Source organism: Homo sapiens, chromosome 1, assembly GCF_000001405.40.
Source record: "Homo sapiens chromosome 1, GRCh38.p14 Primary Assembly".
Classification (NCBI taxonomy): Eukaryota; Metazoa; Chordata; class Mammalia; order Primates; family Hominidae; genus Homo; species Homo sapiens.
In genome coordinates this window covers 206,053,335-206,072,659 of record NC_000001.11, presented here as the reverse complement: position 1 = coordinate 206,072,659, position 19,325 = coordinate 206,053,335, and the positions used below count along the sequence as shown (strand labels likewise).

Below are 19,325 nucleotides of genomic sequence, written 5' to 3'. Positions count from 1 at the left end.
TGCCCAGAAACATATTTTCAGAGTACATTACGGGAATATGGTATTTTTACAAAGCCTAAAACACATCCTCTTTTTTTTCTTTTTGAGATGGAGTCTTGCTGTGTTGCCCAGGCTGGAGTGCAGTGGCACGATCTCGGCTCACTGCAACCTCCGCCTCCCAGGTTGAAGCTATTCTCCTGCCTCAGCCTCCCGAGTAGCTAGGATTACAGGCTCTTACCACTATGCCTGGCTAATTTTTTTGTATTTTTAGTAGAGACAGGGTTTCACCGTGTTAGCCAGGATGGTCTCGAACTCTTGACGTTGTGATCCACCCACCTCGGCCTCCCAAAGTGCTGGGATTATAGGCGTGAACAACCGCGCCCGGCCCATTCTCTTATAAAAACAAGAATCCTCTTGGAATAAGGGCCATGTTTCTATGTTCATCAGTTTTGTATGTTTGGACCTTTGTACATTGAATGTGTCCTTTCTTCCTTCTGGGCTAGATTTTCTTCCACTGTTTTGTGCCAGTTTTAAATTCCTACCTAGATCATCAGCTCCTTAAGGAAATGAAAAATTAGGGGCGGCATGAAAGACTTATTTGTTGCGTTCCTGTTTATGAAGATCTGTTGCTAAATGGTACCTGAGACAGGTTCTAAAAAAAAGGGTTTTAACTCATATGGCTTCTTCCATCTAATGATGGCAAAATACGCCTACTGATTTAGTCCATTCAACTGACCAATGGGAAATAATCCTTTATAACATAATCAGTTACAATCAGTTGTTAATTTTTTACACTTTCTTTTTCTTTTTTTTTTTTTTTTGAGTTGTTGGACAGGGGGCGTCTCACTTTGTTACCGAGGCTAGAGTGCAGTGGCATGATCATAGCTCACTGCAGTCTCAGCCTCCTGGGCTCAAGGGATCCTCCTGCCTCAGCTTCCCTAGTAGCTAGGACCACAGGCATTCACCACCAGGCCTGGCTACTTTTTATTATTTTTTTGTAGAGATGTGGTCTCGCCATGTTGCCCAGACTGGTCTTGAACTCCTGGCCTTAAGTGATCCTCTCACCTTGCCCTCCCAAAGCGCTGGGATGACAAATGTGAGTCACTGCTCAATGCCTTTTTTTTTTTTTTTTTTGCATTTTCAACAGCATCTTATAGTTTACAGAATATTATCATATAATATCATCAGTATGATGGTTAATATTGGGTGTCAATTTGATTGGATTGAAGGACGCAAAGTATTGTTCCTGGGTATGTCTGTGAGGATGTTGCCAAAGGAGATTAACATTTGAGTCAGTGGACTGGGAGAAGCAGACCCACCCACAATCCGGGTGGACCCATCTAATCTGCTGCCAGCGTGGCTAGAATAAAAGCTGGCAGAGGAATCATGAAGGGCTAGACTGGCCTGAGTCTTCCGGCCTTCATCTTTCTCTCGTGCTGGATTCTTCCTGCCCTTGAACATTAGACTCCAAGTTCTTCAGCTTTTGGACTCTTGGACTTATACCAGTAGGGCGCCAGGGGCTCTCAGACCTTCAACCACAGACTGAAGGCTGCACTGTTGGCTTCCCTACTTATGAGGTTTTGGGACTCCGGCTGGCTTCCTTGTTCCTCATCTTACAGATGGCCTATTGTGAGACTTCACCTTGTGATCGTGTGAGTCAATACTCCTTAATAAATTCCCCTTTATATATACGTATATCTTATTAGTTCTGTCCTTCTAGAGAACCCTAATAAAATCAGCCAATACCTATCAATCAATATCATTATTATTTCAATTTTACAGGTGAGAAAGCCTGGACTTATAGAAATTAGTTACCTTGCCAAGTGTTGTACACAGTAAGTGAAGGGCCAAGACTGACGGCTGATAGGACAGGGGTGACCAGTGGTGGGGAGGGTAGTGGGAGCAGTCCATCCTGGAATCTGGCATTCAAGGGGCGCATTGTCTGTGGAGGATTTAAAAATAATAAAACCAACTAAAGGCAGTCTGCTTTTTATGGTCACCAGGCGCCAGCAATTCTAAATTTCAGTGATAAAATATTCCTCCTCACTGGACACGAGAAGCTGGCTTCTCCTATTCCCCAGTACAGTAGAAACATTAAGAGAGCAAGTGAGCCTCATTTCCAGACACATGGGAGATTTCTCTCAGGACTGTGCAAAGCATTTCATGTTCCAAGACCCTGCCTTTGTTAAAACATAGATGCATTTTTTTTTCTTTGGGGATGTTCAGAGCCTTCCAGAATTATGCTTTCCCAGGAGAGATAACAACAGTCACATAGCCAAACGTCTAGCAGTGCTTCTGCCTACCGAACAGAATTTCCTGAGAATCTTCTGGAAAAGCAGTGCCCAGTCACTCATTCTGCAAAATGCACTCAGCAGCTCCTCTGAGAGAAGCCGTGGATATAGGGGGATGGCAGGAGAGAAAGGCAGCTCTCCCTGCCAGGCGGGTGAGGGGCAGGACTATAGACCCTTCTACTGAGGGCGAGCTGGTAGAATTTCTCTCAATGCTCAAGACCGAGGAGTTTATCATTCCCTTGACCCCTGGGCTTTAGCTAGAAATGTCCAGAACTCCCCCATCCTAACTGAGAAGGGCAGTTGCTTGCCCCAAACCCACAAAGACTAATTCTTTTTTTTTTTTTAATAGTAAATGCTATTTTTTTCTGTTGGATTTTATAGTATTGCTAAAAAGTAACGGTGAATTTATACATATATGTGGTTATCTTCATATGTAAACAATAGCATATATTTGATGTTGAAATAATCTTTTTATTTGTCCGTCCTCTAAGCTCCCAAGGAAATTGAAAATACCCGAATACTGGGTTAATCCAAGTTTTTACTATTCATGTAATTTTTAAAAATAGGTAAAAGCTAGTTTTATACCAGCCCTCGAAAGTTGTAGAGCAGCTGTATCTGGTAGGAAGAATCCGTACTCAATGAAAATGTCGGTGCAGACAGAACAGGCTTCAGTAGATGTTTATAGATGTTTTCACATGTTACAAATTAAAGTATATTCATCTCCAGTGCACAAAGACTAATTCTGTATTGAAGAGTCCCTCAGCTGCTAGGGTGACCAGCAGCCCAGGCCTGAGGGCTTTCCTGGAACCTGAAACTTTCAATGCTAAAACTAGGACAGTCCCAGGCCAACCAGGATGGTTGGTCATTCTTCTAGTTGCTGAGATTTTGAAATCAATATTTAGTGTTCATTCTACTGTTATTGGAATTGCCTTGAGCCCTGGCTCGGGACGTTGAGGGAGGGACTGGGCAGTGTCTTTATTTTATATATCTACAGAAGCCAGAACAAAGGCAAGCTTACCTATGAAGCCCAGTAAGATCCTGCGGTAGGTTTTCTCAACAGCAGTGTTATGGACATTTGGGGCTAGATAATTCTCTTTTGTGGGGCTCTGTCCTGTGCGTTGAAAGATGTTTAGCAGCATTACTGCCCTCTATGCATTAGATGCCAGTAGCATGTTCCCCACCCAGGTGTGACAATCAAAACACGTCTTTAGGAATTGCAAATATTCACTGGGATGGGGGTAAGGGTGGCAAACTCACCCCTAGTTGGGAAGTACTGCCCAAGAGAGACGTCTCTTACTGCCTCATTAAGCATTTGGAGCTGTTAAACACAAATCAAGGCAACCAGAAAGGGCATCTTGGCTTCAGGCTGGGCATAACCATCCCATTTGCCACATAAAAGTCTAGTGGCTACTCTGCACCCTTTCTGGGTAGAAGCAGAGTTAGTTTGGTCATGGGGGCCCCTGTGGGACAGTGTTGCCCAGACAGGTACCCCTTTAAACCAGCTCTTCCCACAGAGTGTCACAAAGAATGCTTCTTGTCCTATGGGATGCCCCCTGGGGAAATAAAAGAGAGTTTGAAGAATACTATCTGGATATTCACAAAGTACCTTATACAATGAGTGCTCTGAGAAGTGCTGAAATAAAGAAACCTGTTTAAAATTTCCACCCAAGTTTTATGCTGAGGTCAACCTATCCATTAAGATTTATATACAATTGGCTCAATCCCTTGAACTGTAGCATCTTTAGATACTCTGGGGCCCATCCTGAGATTCTGAGAATTTCCAGAGGGTTTATCTTCTCAAGGTCACTTCGACTCTGAGTTCAGCCTCCCTTTAAATTCTCCAGCTCATTCATAGTGCACCTCTTACCACTTCCCCCTTATTTCTGCTCTATGCTGATTGAGTTGTGGATTTCAGTCCCCTCTTCATGAATTTTCCTTCCCAAAAATACCCTATAAGGCATGTCTGTGTTCAGTGGCTTTACTGAGGTTTGTGGTAGTGAAAGCCTTTTACATCTCCATAATTTTAGCCCCTTTTCCCCCTCAAAACTTTCCTCTTATCTCCCTTGCCCCCTCCACCCTACCCCAACTCAACTCTCCTCACTTTATTGTACAAAACAACTTTGCTTTCCTCTCCTTATTTGGTCTTGAACCTACTTTTACATTTTCAAAGCCTCATTAACAGGTAACCACATAATACGTCGTCCAAACTATGACACTTTTAAGATTGAAAGTGGGCCTAGTAATAACTTTGCTGGCCAACAGGTGTACAGCAGGAAAATCTTAGGCAATCAGGTCACATGGGCTGTCTGCCCTGCACTTGCAGGTCATCAACATAGAAAAGACGCAGAAGCACAGAAATGTTAGTTTCCTTTCTACTTTCTCCTCCCCACTCCAGTCCCCGTAAGTGGAATGGAGCCATGGAGTACGTATTTTCTTATCGATGTGAACCATTCCACCCTCCTTAGAAGACAGAAGTAGCTGTCATCTGTTGCAGGTGCAACTGGCTGGGGCTGGCGTCACAGATGGTAAAAGAATTTACCAAGACAGTAGTGAGTTAAAGAAAGCAAGCTCATTACAGGGAGAATATGTTGCAAGGAGGCAATGGGCAGCACGGCAGAGAAGGGGCTGTCTGCAAAGAGGCAGGGACTGGAGGGAAGTTTTCTAGGGTTGTACTGGAGGGGGTATGTGCAGAATGAGGTTGTGCTGTTGGGGCTATGTGTGGAGTGAGGTATTTGGGAACAGGATGTCCTGCCAGTGGGTTGTCAGTGATGAGCTGTCTGGCAGAAAAATTGCTCTCCCCACCTGGGGCCCCCTCCAAGTTGTTGCTCACTTATCTTATTAGGAATCCACATCATCAGCTTTGGTTTTAAATGAAAATTTCTTCTTCTACATTACCCTTTGCTTATTCATCATTTTCCAAACTTATGTGATCATAGGTCTCATTTAATCTCTCTATCCCTACACCCATTAATGTCTCTCATAACTAGAAAAATACCCTTTGGGAAACTTTGAGCTCAGAGCTAGGAAGAACTATCTACATTGCCACTAAAATCTCCTAGGATGATGACAGGATTAAGGTGGAGAGACCGGGAATCACGTTCTGGAGTCCCCTGTGGAACCAGAATGAAATCTGATGCCTCTGACAGACTGAATGGACCCCTCTTGGCCCAGATCACCCAGAAAAACTTTAAGTTTCCCTGGCTTTGATGAGATAGGAGGTTAGATATGCCTCAGTACCCCCTCTTTGTGTTATTACCAGACTTTCTAAGAGATAAACAGAAACCAATATCTGAAAAACAAAGACTGGAAGATCCTTCCATGGACTTCAGCAGATCACCTGACACCGTGGCCAGACTCCACTCCCTTATCACAGGTTCACCATGAAAACTGAGCGGCCTGACAAAGAATTCCGTCCTGTCCTGATAACTGACCACCAACCACTGACTGGCTCTGGCTGGTTTACTGAGATTAAGCACAAAGTGGCTTTGTGCCTTATGTTTCACCTTTTGACATACAGAGCCTAAATTTACTGCATTTTAATACTGTTTCTACAAATATGGGTCATATGTAACATATATGTTTATGCACTACACATGCATTAGGACCCTTCATAAATATTTATAAGATTGTCCTATAACCTACTGAATATGTATGTACAGCCAGTCTCACTAAGCATAAATCTCAGCCTCTCCCTTCTGTCTCTGAAGTGTCTGCTTTCAGTTTCAGCCAGAGGCTCCACTTCCCTGCCTGTAGGTTGTAACTCTTTTTTTTTGAGACAGAGTCTCTCTCTTGTTGCCCAGGCTGGAGTGCAGTGGTGCAATCTCAGCTCACTGCAAACTTGACGTCCCAGGTTCAAGCGATTCTTCTGCCTCAGCCTCCGGAGTAGCTGGGATTACAGGCATGTGCCACCACACCCAGCTTATTTCTGTATTTTTAGTAGAGACAGGGTTTCACCATGTTGGTCAGGCTGGTCTCAAACTCCTGGCCTCAAGTGATCCGTCCGCCTCGGCCTTCCAAAATGCTGGGATTACAGGCGTGAGCCACTGTGCCTGGCCCAGGTTGTAACCCTTTATAAGAAAGAGAGTTCTCCTTTTTTAAAATTTAAAGATATCAATAATTTTAAGTAGACACCCCTATAAATTAGGGGAATGTCTAGTTAATAGATAAGAGATTCGCAGATAAGAGCAACGAGACTGCAGAGAGTGGTAGAACCAGAGGCATACGCCTCTAAAGACCAGGGCTCTGGAGGGATTCTCCATGGAATATGCTGGGAAACACTGCCTGCAGTCACTGATTCCCAAACTCAGGTACTGATTTGAATGAGAATCTTCAGAAATCCCTGGAGGGACCAAAGGTGCTGAACACATCCAGCCAGCGATCTTCCCGGGCCCTGTGTGTCATGGCAGTCTAAACAGTGGTTCCTCTTTTTGGTCCCTTTAGTCCTGGGGCCAAGCCCAGTCCTGGCTAAAGCAGATACAGGCCACTGAAAAACTGAAAAACCGATGATTGGGTTCCCACTGCCTTCTGCGCCCCTTCTGTGCAATGTCCCACTCTCCCCACCCTATCACCAAGACCAGACCAAGATGAGGGTGCAGGGGAAGCAGCTGCCCATTCTGAGACTGAATATGGATGGAGAGGCAGCTTCCCAACATGCTGGTCCTGGTGAGAGGCCTAAGACTTGTTGAGTCCCTGATCCCTGTTGTCCCACAGGCAGGACTTTCCTGTCCCTATCCTCTCACCACCTCTAACTATCATGCCCATTAGACATCTCCCTAGATGGGAGAAGATGAAAGAAGAGGTGGGGTTGCCAGAGCAAGACTGAAGGTAGAAGGCTTCTGGCCTTGTTAGTACTTGACCAACCTCCCCAGGAACCTTTCCCACTGCCACCATTGGTCCAGTCTGTGGGGTCCCTGCCATCCACAGACTGACCTCAACATGGGTTTCTCTCTTCTGCCTGGAGTCCTGCCTTCTAGCTGCCTCCAGAGAAGCATGCAAGTCCTTTTGTTATGAGGGTTTAACCACTGGGCATTCCTGCATTACCACCTTCTCTACTTCCACTCTTGCCCCTACAGTCTGGCTCAATACAGTAGCCAGAAAAATCTTTTTTTTTTTTTTAATTGATCATTCTTGGGTGTTTCTCACAGAGGGGGATTTGGCAGTGTCATAGGACAATAGTGGAGGGAAGGTCAGCAGATAAACAAGTGAACAAAGGTCTCTGGTTTTCCTAGGCAGAAGACCCTGCGGCCTTCCGCAGCATTTGTGTCCCTGGGTACTTGAGACTGGGGAGTGGTGATGACTCTTAATGAGCATGCTGCCTTCAAGCATCTGTTTAACAAAGCACATCTTGCACTGCCCTTAATCCATTTAACTCTGAGTGGACACAGCACATGTTTCAGAGAGCACAGGGTTGGGGGTAAGGTCACAGATCAACAGGATCCCAAGGCAGAAGAACTTCTCTTAGTACAGAACAAAATGAAAAGTCTCCCATGTCTACCTCCTTCTACACAGACACGGCAACCATCCGATTTCTCAATCTTTTCCCCACCTTTCCCCACTCTCTATTCCACAAAGCCGCCATTGTCATCCTGGCCCGTTCTCAATGAGCTGCTGGGCACACCTCCCAGACGGGGCGGTGGCCGGGCAGAGGGGCTCCTCACTTCCCAGCAGGGGCGGCCGGGCAGAGGCACCCCTCACCTCCCGGATGGGGCGGCTGGCCGGGCGGGGGGCTGACCCCCCCACCTCCCCCCGGGACGGGGCGGCCGGCCGGGCAGAGGGGCTCCTCACTTCCCAGTAGGGGCGGCCGGGCAGAGGCGCCCCTCACCTCCCGGACGGGGCAGCTGGCCGGGTGGGGGGCTGACCAACAATCATCCTCATTCCAGTAGGGGCGGCCGGGCAGAGGCGCCCCTCACCTCCCGGACGGGGCGGCTGGTCGGGCGGGGGGCTGACCCCCCCACCTCCCTCCCGGACGGGGCGGCTGGCCGGGCGGGGGGCTGACCCCCCCACCTCCCTCCCGGACGGGGCAGCTGGCTAGGCAGAGGGGCTCCTCACTTCCCAGTAGGGGCGGCCGGGCAGAGGTTCCCCTCACCTCCCGGACGGGGCGGCTGGCCGGGCGGGGGGCTGACCCCCCCCACCTCCCTCCCGGACGGGGTGGCTGCCGGGCAGAGACGCTCCTCACTTCCCAGACGGGGCGGCTGCCGGGCGGAGAGGCTCCTAACTTCTCAGACGGGGCGGCTGCCGGGCGGAGGGTCTCCTCACTTCTCAGACGGGGCGGCCGGGCAGAGACGCTCCTCACCTCCCAGACGGGGTCGCGGCTGGGCAGAGGCGCTCCTCACATCCCAGACGGGGCGGCGGGGCAAAGGCGCTCCCCACATCTCAGACGATGGGCGGCCGGGCAGAGACGCTCCTCACTTCCTAGATGGGATGGCGGCCTGGAAGAGGCGCTCCTCACTTCCCAGATGGGATGGCGGCCGGGCAGAGACGCTCCTCACTTTCCAGACTGGGCAGCCAGGCAGAGGGGCTCCTCACATCCCAGACGATGGGCGGCCAGGCAGAGACGCTCCTCACTTCCCAGACGGGGTGGCGGCCGGGCAGAGGCTGCAATCTCGGCACTTTGGGAGGCCAAGGCAGGCGGCTGGGAGGTGGAGGTTGTAGCCAGCCGAGATCACGCCACTGCACTCCAGCCTGGGCGCCACTGAGCACTGAGTGAACCAGACTCCGTCTGCAATCCCGGCACCTCGGGAGGCCGAGGCTGGCGGATGACTCACGGTTAGGAGCTGGAGACCAGCCCGGCCAACACAGCGAAACCCCGTCTCCACCAAAAAAATAGGAAAACCAGTCAGGCGTGGCGGCGCGCGCCTGCAATTGCAGGCACTCCGCAGGCTGAGGCAGGAGAATCAGGCAGGGAGGTTGCAGTGAGCCGAGATGGCAGCAGTATAGTCCAGCTTTGGCTTGGCGTGAGAGGGAGACGGTGGAAAGAGAGGGAGAGGGAGACCATGGGGAGAGGGAGAGGGAGAGGGAGAGGCAGAAAAATCTTTTTAAAACACAAGCCATGCTTGAAACTTGCCGTTTTCCAAGCCCCCTCCTAATAGTGAAGAACCCTGACTCTCCCCACATCTTTGCTGTGATCCTTGCAACCCCCCAGTTCCATTCCAGACACATTCATCTCCTCGCTTTTCTTTGACCATGTCAGGTACACGTCTACCTCAGGGCCTTTGCACTGCCATTCCTCCTGCCTGAAATACTCTTTCCCTATTTATCATCAGGTGTCACATTCTTACCTTTCTTTTAGGTCAAATGTCAGTAAGGCCTTCCCTGAACACCTGATACAAACTAGCAACCCACTCTTACCTCTTACAAGGAAGTGTAGGGTAGGGAATGCTTGCTTTATTTCCCCGTAGCACATCCCACCATCTGACATTTTGTGTGTTTATGTGTTTCTTTGTTCGTTCTAGAAGGTAAGCTCTGTGAGGACAAGGCTTTGTCTGTTGGGATCACTGCTGTATTCCCAGGACCTAGATCACGGAAGTGCTTAATGACTACTTGTGAATGACGAAAAGAAGGAGTAAATCAATTGTAAAGTTCCAGTCATCTACCACAGTTCCCACGGGAGCTGTTCCTGGCCAGTGGTGACACACAGCCCACTTCCCGCTTGGCACTCCTCCCCCGTCCCCTTTCTCAGGTGGCCCCCATGCTTCCTGGGAGCTCACCAAGTTCCTCAGTAAGAAGCACTTCCCAGGCACCTGCAGCCCCCCTATGCCTCCTCCTCCACATCTGGCATATTGTCCAGCAGTTGTATTGTGCAGACACACGAGGCAGTCAGCCATGCACGTGATCACAGATACAAGCATGACTCCTAAGTTGACACCCATGGGGTGTTAACTCCTGACAGGGTAAGACTGGAGAGACAAAAGCAGCTGGACCTGAAATGGTCTGAATCCCCCTCCTCGGCCCTTTTGCCTCAGGAGGGGCAGGAGCTCAGAGGGCTTCCTTGTTGGCCAGGCTGTCTCAGGAGCCTGCCTCTGGGGCTGGGGGTGATCTGGACGAGCATGTCCTGTGTTTCTTGTATGTCACTCCTTTCTATTAGAACAGTACTTTGATTCTAATAAATCAGAAGAAATGTCTAGCCATCCACCTCCATCAGAATATGTTTTACGTTTTATTTTTATTTATTTACTTTTTTTAGAGATGGAGTCTCACTCTGTTGCCAGGCTGGAGTGCAGCGGTGTGATCTTGGCTCACTGCAACTTCCGCCCCCTGGGTTCAAGTGATTCTCCTGCCTCAGCCTTCCAAGTAGCTGGGATTACAGGCATGCACCACCACACCTGGCTAATTTTTGTATCTTTAGTAGAGACGGGGTTTCACCATGTTGGCCAGGATGGTCTTGATCTCTTGACCTGGTGATCTGCCTGCCTCAGCCTCCCAAAGTGCTGGGATACAGGTGTGAGCCACCGTGCCTGGCCTATGTATTTTTTTTTTTTTAAACACACACATAAATCTAAAGCAAAGGGTATGCCAAGATTCAGCTGGGGCCAGGTCTGACCCCCACTCTGAGCATCTCATTAGCTTCCCATCAGTGGAATACAATGGAGACATATTCCACTTGGTCTGGCAATGTCCTCCTGGGGTGATGAAAAGGGGGCATGTTGGTGTAGACAGCAAAGTCGTCCTCCTTCTGGGGAGCCAGGTTGATCACGTTGGAATATATGGCATCAGCATGGCAGGAAAGATCCTTTAGAGATAGAACCCTGGTTAGAGGCAGATGGCTGGGCACCAGGGACTTCCAAAGACAAAACAAGGCATTGGGCTGTCCCTACAGGACAGCAAGTAGAATGCTGAGTTCTTGCTGCACAAGCCCTAGATCTCAGTTTTCATAGGCATTTCCTCCAGATCTGCCCCCCGCCTCCTCCCACCACCCTCTGTGTGGGGTCTAGGTAAGGAAGCAGCCAGAAGGCCAGGATCCCCCTCTCTACATGCGACTGGACTAGTTCCTTACCGAGGACTTGTGGGGAAAGTTGGTCTGATGCCTCAGTTGTTTCTTAAATAGTCCTAGAAAAATGGATAAACTCAGAGTCAGTCTGAGTTGGGTTAATAACCATCTTTACTTGGTTGTTTGCTGGGTTTAGGGCTTAACTTTGAAATGCAAAATCCACCACACTCAGCCCATTGGGCCTCTGAGACTAAGTTAAATTCCCAGGAAGACACAGGGGAAATGAGTACGCTTTATAATTTATAATTTTGTTTATTATTTAGAAGAGATTATTTGGCATCAGTATTTCTTTTAGCTGAGGCATATAGGCCATAAGCATATATGCAGATGGCTTATACTATATATAGCTTTCAGCATGAAGAACTTGTGTGATGAGTAATTCTTATTGCTGTGTACAGAGTCCCCAGCAAGTCTAGAGAAGAGGTCTTATCTTCATATCTCCTTCATATTACCCTCCCACTACCCGCTCCCCTCCCCGACAAGACTGCCCCATAGGAAAAACACCCCAATCTCTGCCCCCAGTTTCTCCTCTCTTCATTCCCAGTTCCAGGGCCAGCTTGTTCAACTCACTCTCTTGCCTCCATTTCTTCAGGGTCATGGACAAGAGACCCACCAGGAGCAAGATGAGGGACACCACAGCAATGGAGCCAGAAAGGGCTGTGGCTGCTGTGCTTAGGCTGAAGGAAGCAACTAAGAGACATGAGGACCATCCAGCTGCTCTGGCTGGCTTTGGTGACCCTCCACAAAAGTGCCCTGGGGCCTCCTCACCCATGTAGAAGCTCTCCCACTTCCAGGCTTCACCTCCTTAGTGGCCAACCATCTCCTGCCTCCATTTTAGCCCCTCTTTTCAGCTCTAGCCTCCATCACCATGGCCCCCACTCACACCAATCCCCACAGATCCTTCCCCAGGAGCCCACCTTCCTCCTTCATGGATCCAGCCCTTCTCTCACCCACCTGCTGAGTCCTGCAGTGTTAGTCTCTGGCTTCAGGGTGGTGATGTTCTCTGCATAAGGGGAAGGAGAGGAAAGTAATACGAAGGAGATAGGAAGGTAATTCTTGCACACCTATGCAAATGAGCTCTACAGAATCCTAAATGGTAATATTAGCTACTGTTTATTGTGAACTTAGTATATATTGGGCACATTCATTATCTTGTTTAATCTTCATATATAGACCTGAGATAGGAACAATCATTATTCCTATTATACAGTAAAGAAAAACAGTTCTTGAGGATCACACTTGCTCAGGGTCATAGGGCTGGTAAGTGGCAGAGTTTGGACATAAACCTCCATCTCTCTGACTTTAAGTCGTGTGTTCATACACAGTATATTCTGCTGCCTCCATGTGATTGTTTCACTCCAGAGCTCTACCATTCTTACCAAGGGTTAGCAGATATGACAGGAGGTCCAGAAAAAGAGATAACCAGGATGTGCAGTGCTAGGTACCTGGGGGAGGGCATGTGAGAGGGGTTGACAGGATCAGGACATAAGCAAGGCCAGTAGAGCTACGGCTAGGAAGAGGTGGCAGGCGTGGGAGCCTGCCCATGCTCTGGTGGGGAAGGGGAGAATTATTCACACCAGGAAAGAATTTCTCCTGCCTCGAGGGATGGAGACACAAAGTCCATCCCCTCTCCAGCCACATTCTGTCCATAGATTCTCAGAGCTAAAAGGAATCTTAAACCCTCCCATTGTATAGGTGAGGAATCTCAGGGGAAGGCACTTGCCTGAGGCAAGTGCTGTAGCCAGGACTGGAGTCAGGCATTTTGACTCCAAACCCAAAGCTCTCTTTATCTGCATTCAGTCTCCTTCCTGTTTCTTCCCCATAAAGTGAAGCTGCATGATTCAGCCCTATAGCAGATAGCACCCCTCAGGCCACATGTCTTGGGGAGCTGGCTGTGCAATGCAGAGACTGTGGCCAAGGTGGGGTGGGGGGAACCCATTGGATCACTAAGGCAATTTACTAGCCACCTTGGATAAATAGCATCTGGGAACACAAAAGTACCAAGTTTTACAGCCTTTAGGGGCACCAAGGCCAGATGGGATTCTGTTGGGTATCCTAACAGCTCCCTTCCTTTCTGCCTTTTTCCCTGTCTCCCTTCTGAGTGAGAGAGCTGACCTCACCAAGTTTCCCTTTGACAGCTACTGGATGGAGGGTAGGAAGGGGTCTTGGAAACCACACCTTTCCAGTGCCCATGGTGCCAGTCATGAACCATGCAAGATGAAGCATCAAGTCACAGGGCATGATGTATGGGGGAGTGGGGTGAGGCAGATGACACACCTAAACCCTGAGCAATGAGAAGGGAACTTGGGTCTCCAGCTGGGGCAGGCTGGTGGGAGTGGAGCACACCTGTTACGGCAGGAGGGAGATAGCATGAGGGTGTCTATCCAGGGCCAGAAAGGCAAGTACCTATCCTGGGCAGGCAGAGGAGGTGGGTAGGAGCAAGAAGAACAAAGGAGGATGTCATGAAAGTGCTTGAGATTTAAAGTCCAGTTGTAGCAGGACGAGCCGCAGACAAAACCTCCCAGACACTGAATTGTAGAAGGAAGGGCTTTATTCAGCTGGGAGCATCAGCAGGCTACTGCCTTAAAATCCGAGCTCCCCGAATGCACAATTTCCGTCCCTTTTAAGGGCTCACAATACTAAAGATTTCACATGAAAGGGTCATGATTGATTTGAGCAAGCAGGCGGTATGTGACAGGGGCTGCATGCACCGGTGGTCAGAGAGAAACAGAACAGGGCAGGGAGTTTCACAATGTTCTTCTATACAATGTCTGGAATCTATGAATAACATCAGTTTCTAAGTTATGAGTTGATTTTTAACTACTGGGTTTAGGCCAGGCAGGCCCAGGCCTGGTTTTGGGCCTGGCGCTGGGCTGCTTGTCTTTGGTTCTACTTCCTTGTTGTTTTTTTCTTAAAAGAGGTACTGAGTATAAAACAATATAAAACAATATGAGAGGGTCTCTCTCTTCCCTCATTTCCCCTCTTTGAGACTCTCACTTTTTATCAGTGGGAGTTCTCACTCTTATTTTTGCTACTTATGTATTTTCGTGCAATAGATTGATAGTGATTTATATAGTATGCTTGTGCTGAAGCATTTTGGTGAACTAAGGTTAAGCGACGAAGTTTTTTATCATTTGGAGAAATACAGGTATCAGACAAGGGAGCAGTAAGCAGGTTCCTATTACTATTATTACTCTTATTATAAGAGTTTTAAATCCACCTATTGCTGGGAACCAATTTCCAAACATGGCTCCCAGATTGAGTCCGTGCCACACTTGCACAGGTGCATGTGCCAGTTTTGTTATATCTTTAACTATATCCTCAACTACTTGCCCCTGATCATCTATGTGTAGACAATAATTAGTAAGGTCAAATTTTTCACAAACTCCTCCTTCAGCTGCTAGCAAGTAATCAAGAGCTAGTCTATTTTGATAGATAGCATTTCTCATCATAGTCTCTTGCCAGGCAAGAACAGTCAAGGCTTGAGTGGTTTTATTAGTAATAATTTCTAAAACAGCTTGTAACCATATGATTCGGTTGAGCATGTAGATGGGGGTTCCATATCCCCATGAGACATCTTGTGACCAAGTGGCAGGTCCATAGTATTGTAAGATTTTTTCAGGGGGCCATTCATCGTCTTTCCAATCACCTATGGCTATGCTTCATTTTTCACAGGAAGCACAGACTGGGAAGCCCAGAAGTTTACCTGTTTTTATGGGCACTAAGAAGAAAGATGGCTTAATGGTGCCAATTACACAGCTACCTGTCCACTGATCAGGCAGCTTAGCATAAGCTCTGTGTCCACATACCCAGTATAACCCAGTGGGGGCCGTCCAGTCCCAGTGCAATTCTGGGTGGGCCCAAACAGTCTGCAACTTTGGAAATTTACTGAATGGATTTTTTTCTGTGTAATTGGAACTCCACCATGTAACTGTTTTTGTGGTACCATTATACAGCTTTTGCCCAAGACAACTAAGCTGCCCTACAGGATGAGTAAATCCTTTTCCTTCTCTAGCTATGCAATACTGTCCAATAATAAGACTTTCAGAACCCAAAATTTGTCAGGGTGGTTCTTTTGGGCTGGGAATTCATCAGGAACCGGGTCTATAGGAACCAATTCTCGGGCTTCCCATGGCCATTGATCTCCTGTTACGGTTCCTCCACAAACATGACATAGGCGACTTGTAGAGACTGGGCTACATGTTTGGCTAATTGCAAAAACAAATTTTTAGTTTTTCCTGGAATCTCAGGTACTGGCACATTTAGTTCATCATAGAAAGTCTGAAATACTGGTTCTGGAGAACGTTTTTGAACCTCTCCTTTTATTAGGATGCTTACACTAGGATCTAGTCCTTTTCCATCAATGCCTAATGTTACATATTTTTCTTTATTCCACTTTGGGTCTGAGGGGTTTGTGATTATCAATTCTAAAAGGTTGCAGCTCCCACTCATGCAGGAGAGGCTGACTTTTCCTTTTTGGAACCAAACACTATCTTTTTTAACTTATTTTCAAGTAGCCGAAATAACGCAAGACCAGTATTGACACATCTCACATAAATATGATTCTTGACAGATATACTTATTTTTTTTTACTGTGTAACTTTTTTTTCCAATTTAGAGAACCACATCCTCATCCATGCTGCTTACTATCAATAGTGGCACAAGTGTCAAATTTTAAGGTTACATTTTTGGGGACCCCTCTTTCTTCTGTTCTAGCTATTACCTTTCTTGTGTCACCTAGAAAAGGACCAGTCCTTAATTGTATTTTAAAAACTGTGATCATGGGAGGCTTAAAATGGGTCATAACACGCATCAAGTTGGTTATTTCCTGGGCTACATACCTTGGATAGAATAGCATTATACAAACAAGTTTCTTTTAGAGTCCTGGTACACTTATAATAACCATAAAATAATAGGAATGTAGCAATCTTTTGTCCTACCTCAGTGACTTGATGTATATACTGGAAACAGTTCTCAGTCTGAGGAAGGTCAGTTGAAGTCCTTACTGTGCAAGTCTAAATTTTAAGGAAAATTAGTCCCGCGATGAGTTTCCTCATGCTTCAGCTGTGCGTGGACCAGTCAGCTTCCGGGTGTGACTGGAGCAGGGCTTGTCGTCTTCTTCAGAGTCACTTTGCAGGGGTTGGTGAAGCTGCTCCCATCCATGTACAGCTCCCAGTCTACTGATGTTTAAGGATGGTCTCGGTGGTTAGGCCCACTAGAATAAACTGAGTCCAATACCTCTACACAGTTATGTTTAACTGGGCTCTCTGACACCGGGAGGAAGGTGGCGGGGTTTAGGTGTTGCAAACTTCAATGGTTATGCGGGGATGTTCACAGAGCAAGCTTTGGTATCTAGCTAGTCTAGCATTCATTAGCTAATGGTGTCCTTTGGTATTTATTAAAATCACCACAGCATAGGGGGACTTTATGTTTAGGTTTTGTCTAAGAGTTAGCTTATCTGCTTCTTGTGCTAACAGGGCTATTGCTACCAGGGACTTTGGACATGGGGGCCAGCGTTTGGAAACCTCATCTAGTTGTTTTGAGAGATAGGCCACTGGCCTTGGCCAGGGCCCTACAGTCTGGGTTAAAACTCCAACTGCCACTTTTTCTCTTTCTGACACATAGAGTGTAAAAGGTTTTGTCAGGTCAGGTAGCCCCAGGGCTGGGGCCGACATGGGTTTTTTCTTTTTTTCAACTCATGAAAAGCTCATTGCTGTTGGGTGTAATAGATGCAGTTTATCTAATCTACATTTTTATTGACTGTCATCTACCAAAATATTGACTTAAATCCTGTAGCTATTTGATTTCGGACTTTAAATTGATCTGGTGTTCCTTGCGGGGCTTCGATTGCATCTAAATAGATGTGAGAGTTGAAAGACCCATAAGGGGCTTCTCTCGCTTTACGATGTCTTATTATTTTTTTTTTCCTTCCTCTGGTTGATGAAATGCCAGGGTGAAAGGGATAGCCAAATAGGCTAAAGCACAAGTGCCACTCTAGTTATTCGGCAGAGTGCCCAATAAAGGTCCACGACAATACCATCACACATCCGCTCGGGGATGAACAAGGGCTGACTGACTGATAAGCTCTTGAAAATTCTTAAGCTCACTGCATCCCTTCAGGTCTCCAAGGAATGCTAAGTCTCCTCCCTGCCATGAGAGACATGAAGTGAACTTAGTGTTGGGAGACGGAAGCTGGACGGCCCTCAGGGGCTGACCCGCAGGGACTTTGGGATATAGCAGAGAGAGCTTGGCATGACTTATTACTCCAAGCTGTAGAAACCTGGAAAATAGCTACCCTGCAGCCCATGCCTGGTCAACTGGAGGACCACCTTAGTGGAAGGGGGACAATCAGGGCCTCTGGCCTGCCATGTGCACAAGCATAACAATTGCATTTGTTTAAAGTGCAGATGGAATATTTGATCCATTTCAGCCAGGCACTTGCATCTTGGCGTGCTGTCTTAATTGCCAAAGTTTGTTTTAAGTCTTTAACTTTTATGATCCTCTAGTAAAATGAATGTTTCCTTTAGCACCAATTTTTATTAGTTTTTAGACCAAAGAAAGCTAAACACCATTTTATATTTAATAATGTTTCTTGTATGATTTTTATACCAGATAAGCTAAATTTTACCTTTATATTAGTGTGTTATTAATTTTAAACTGAATTTTAATAAAACCTTGTAGACATATTTATCCAATTTTTCATGTTTGACCATAAGGTAAGATTTTATAGACTCTTTTTAACCTTTTATAATTTTTGTTAAAGAGCAGGTTGATGCTTTAAGAAAAACCTGTGGCATTTTTTACTTTAATGTCCAGTTCACAGAAAAACTGGATGATACCTTTTTAACTTTAGCTAATATGTTTACACACAGAATTTTCTTTATAATTAACGTTTTAAAACTTGCTTAAACTTTTAAAACAATAATTGTTTTTAACCTTTTAATGTAGGTAAAAATCCACATTCTTATGCCCCTTTATAATCTTTTTACCAAAGGTATGTTTTACTTTTCTTATACACCTTGCACATAAACTGTTTTTTTAATAGTACTCAGGAGGCCTTATTACTTTTAAATTATACAACATTTTTTGCATAAATTTTTTTATAACATTTTTTCTTTCACGACTTTTGCCGACAATTCTTCAATGTGTCTCAACTTTCTGACTTATTACAAACATTTTTTTTCTTTAAACACCAGTTAGTTTATTTCAGGACAAGAATTTACCATATAACACTCTTTTTACATAAATTCTGTCTCCCCCCACTTTTTTTTTTTTTTGAAGATAACCATTCCTTTTTTTTTTTTTTAAAGCAAACTTTCTTTATGCCTTTGGACTAGACTGTCTAAGGCCACAAGATTAGAAGTTACCATAATACATGTTACACTGTTAACTTTAAGCAAACTTCACTTTTGTTGAAAACCTTGTAAGTTTGGGATTTCAATTATCCTTTGCTATTAAGACCTTGTTTAGTCTAAATTAACTTAGAATTGGTATAGATGGCCTTTTTTTCTCTCTACTGGTCTTTCCTTGCCTCTGCCAGCCGCTTATGCTGCTGTTCTCTTAACTACGTTGGCGGGGCAAGGGGGTATAAAAGCAGCTGTAACTTTCTATGTATGGAAACTGGTCTGGGTGCCTTGGCTTACGGGTTACCTTGTGTCATACCTTTGAAACAAGGGACCTGTCCAGGCTTCCTTCTGATGGCCAACCCACCTCTAATGCTGGCCAGTCTATTTCACACAAAGTTCTAAGTTTTCCTGGTGTCACAGTAACACTGTAATCTCCCTTAAATTCTTTCTTGAATTTTTTTTTAACATAGTTCCTAGTGGGGTGGGCTTATTTGTACCTGACCCATGCTTCTTCGAGACAAAACACCACACCCACACCACACACATGCCACAAACAAAAAAACAGGTAAAAAGGGCATACACACTCTTGCAGTTTACACCAAACCAAAATCAAAACCAAAATCAGAGTATCCAGAAATCCAAGCCAGGTCAAAACCAAAACCAAAACCAAAGTATCACACAATCTAAGTCAAGTCAAAACCAGAACAGAAGTGCCAATGCAGG

At 46.3% G+C, this 19,325-nt stretch overlaps 1 protein-coding gene and 1 long non-coding RNA gene across 2 annotated transcripts in view, besides 2 other annotated features; one reads left to right on the top strand and one right to left on the bottom strand.

Annotated features, from left to right (window-relative positions):
* The window catches only part of RHEX (regulator of hemoglobinization and erythroid cell expansion), a 49,277-nt gene that overhangs the window by 29,790 nt on the left and 162 nt on the right, over positions 1-19,325 (bottom strand). The window lies entirely within an intron of this gene.
* LOC105372857 (uncharacterized) lies at positions 306-19,217 on the top strand. Its single transcript, XR_922473.3, has 3 exons — positions 306-346; positions 4,962-4,967; positions 14,066-19,217. It is a non-coding gene; the product is annotated as an uncharacterized LOC105372857 (long non-coding RNA).
* Positions 4,577-4,871: a silencer, noted in NCBI's record as "tiled region #5780; HepG2 Repressive non-DNase unmatched - State 16:ElonW". NCBI's record gives its function as "represses a minimal TATA promoter and a strong SV40 promoter by Sharpr-MPRA in HepG2 cells {active_cell/tissue: HepG2}" and the evidence as "EXISTENCE:reporter gene assay evidence [ECO:0000049][PMID:27701403]".
* Positions 14,168-14,227: an enhancer, noted in NCBI's record as "active region_2396". NCBI's record gives its function as "activates an Ori minimal core promoter by ATAC-STARR-seq in GM12878 lymphoblastoid cells {active_cell/tissue: GM12878}" and the evidence as "EXISTENCE:reporter gene assay evidence [ECO:0000049][PMID:35858748]".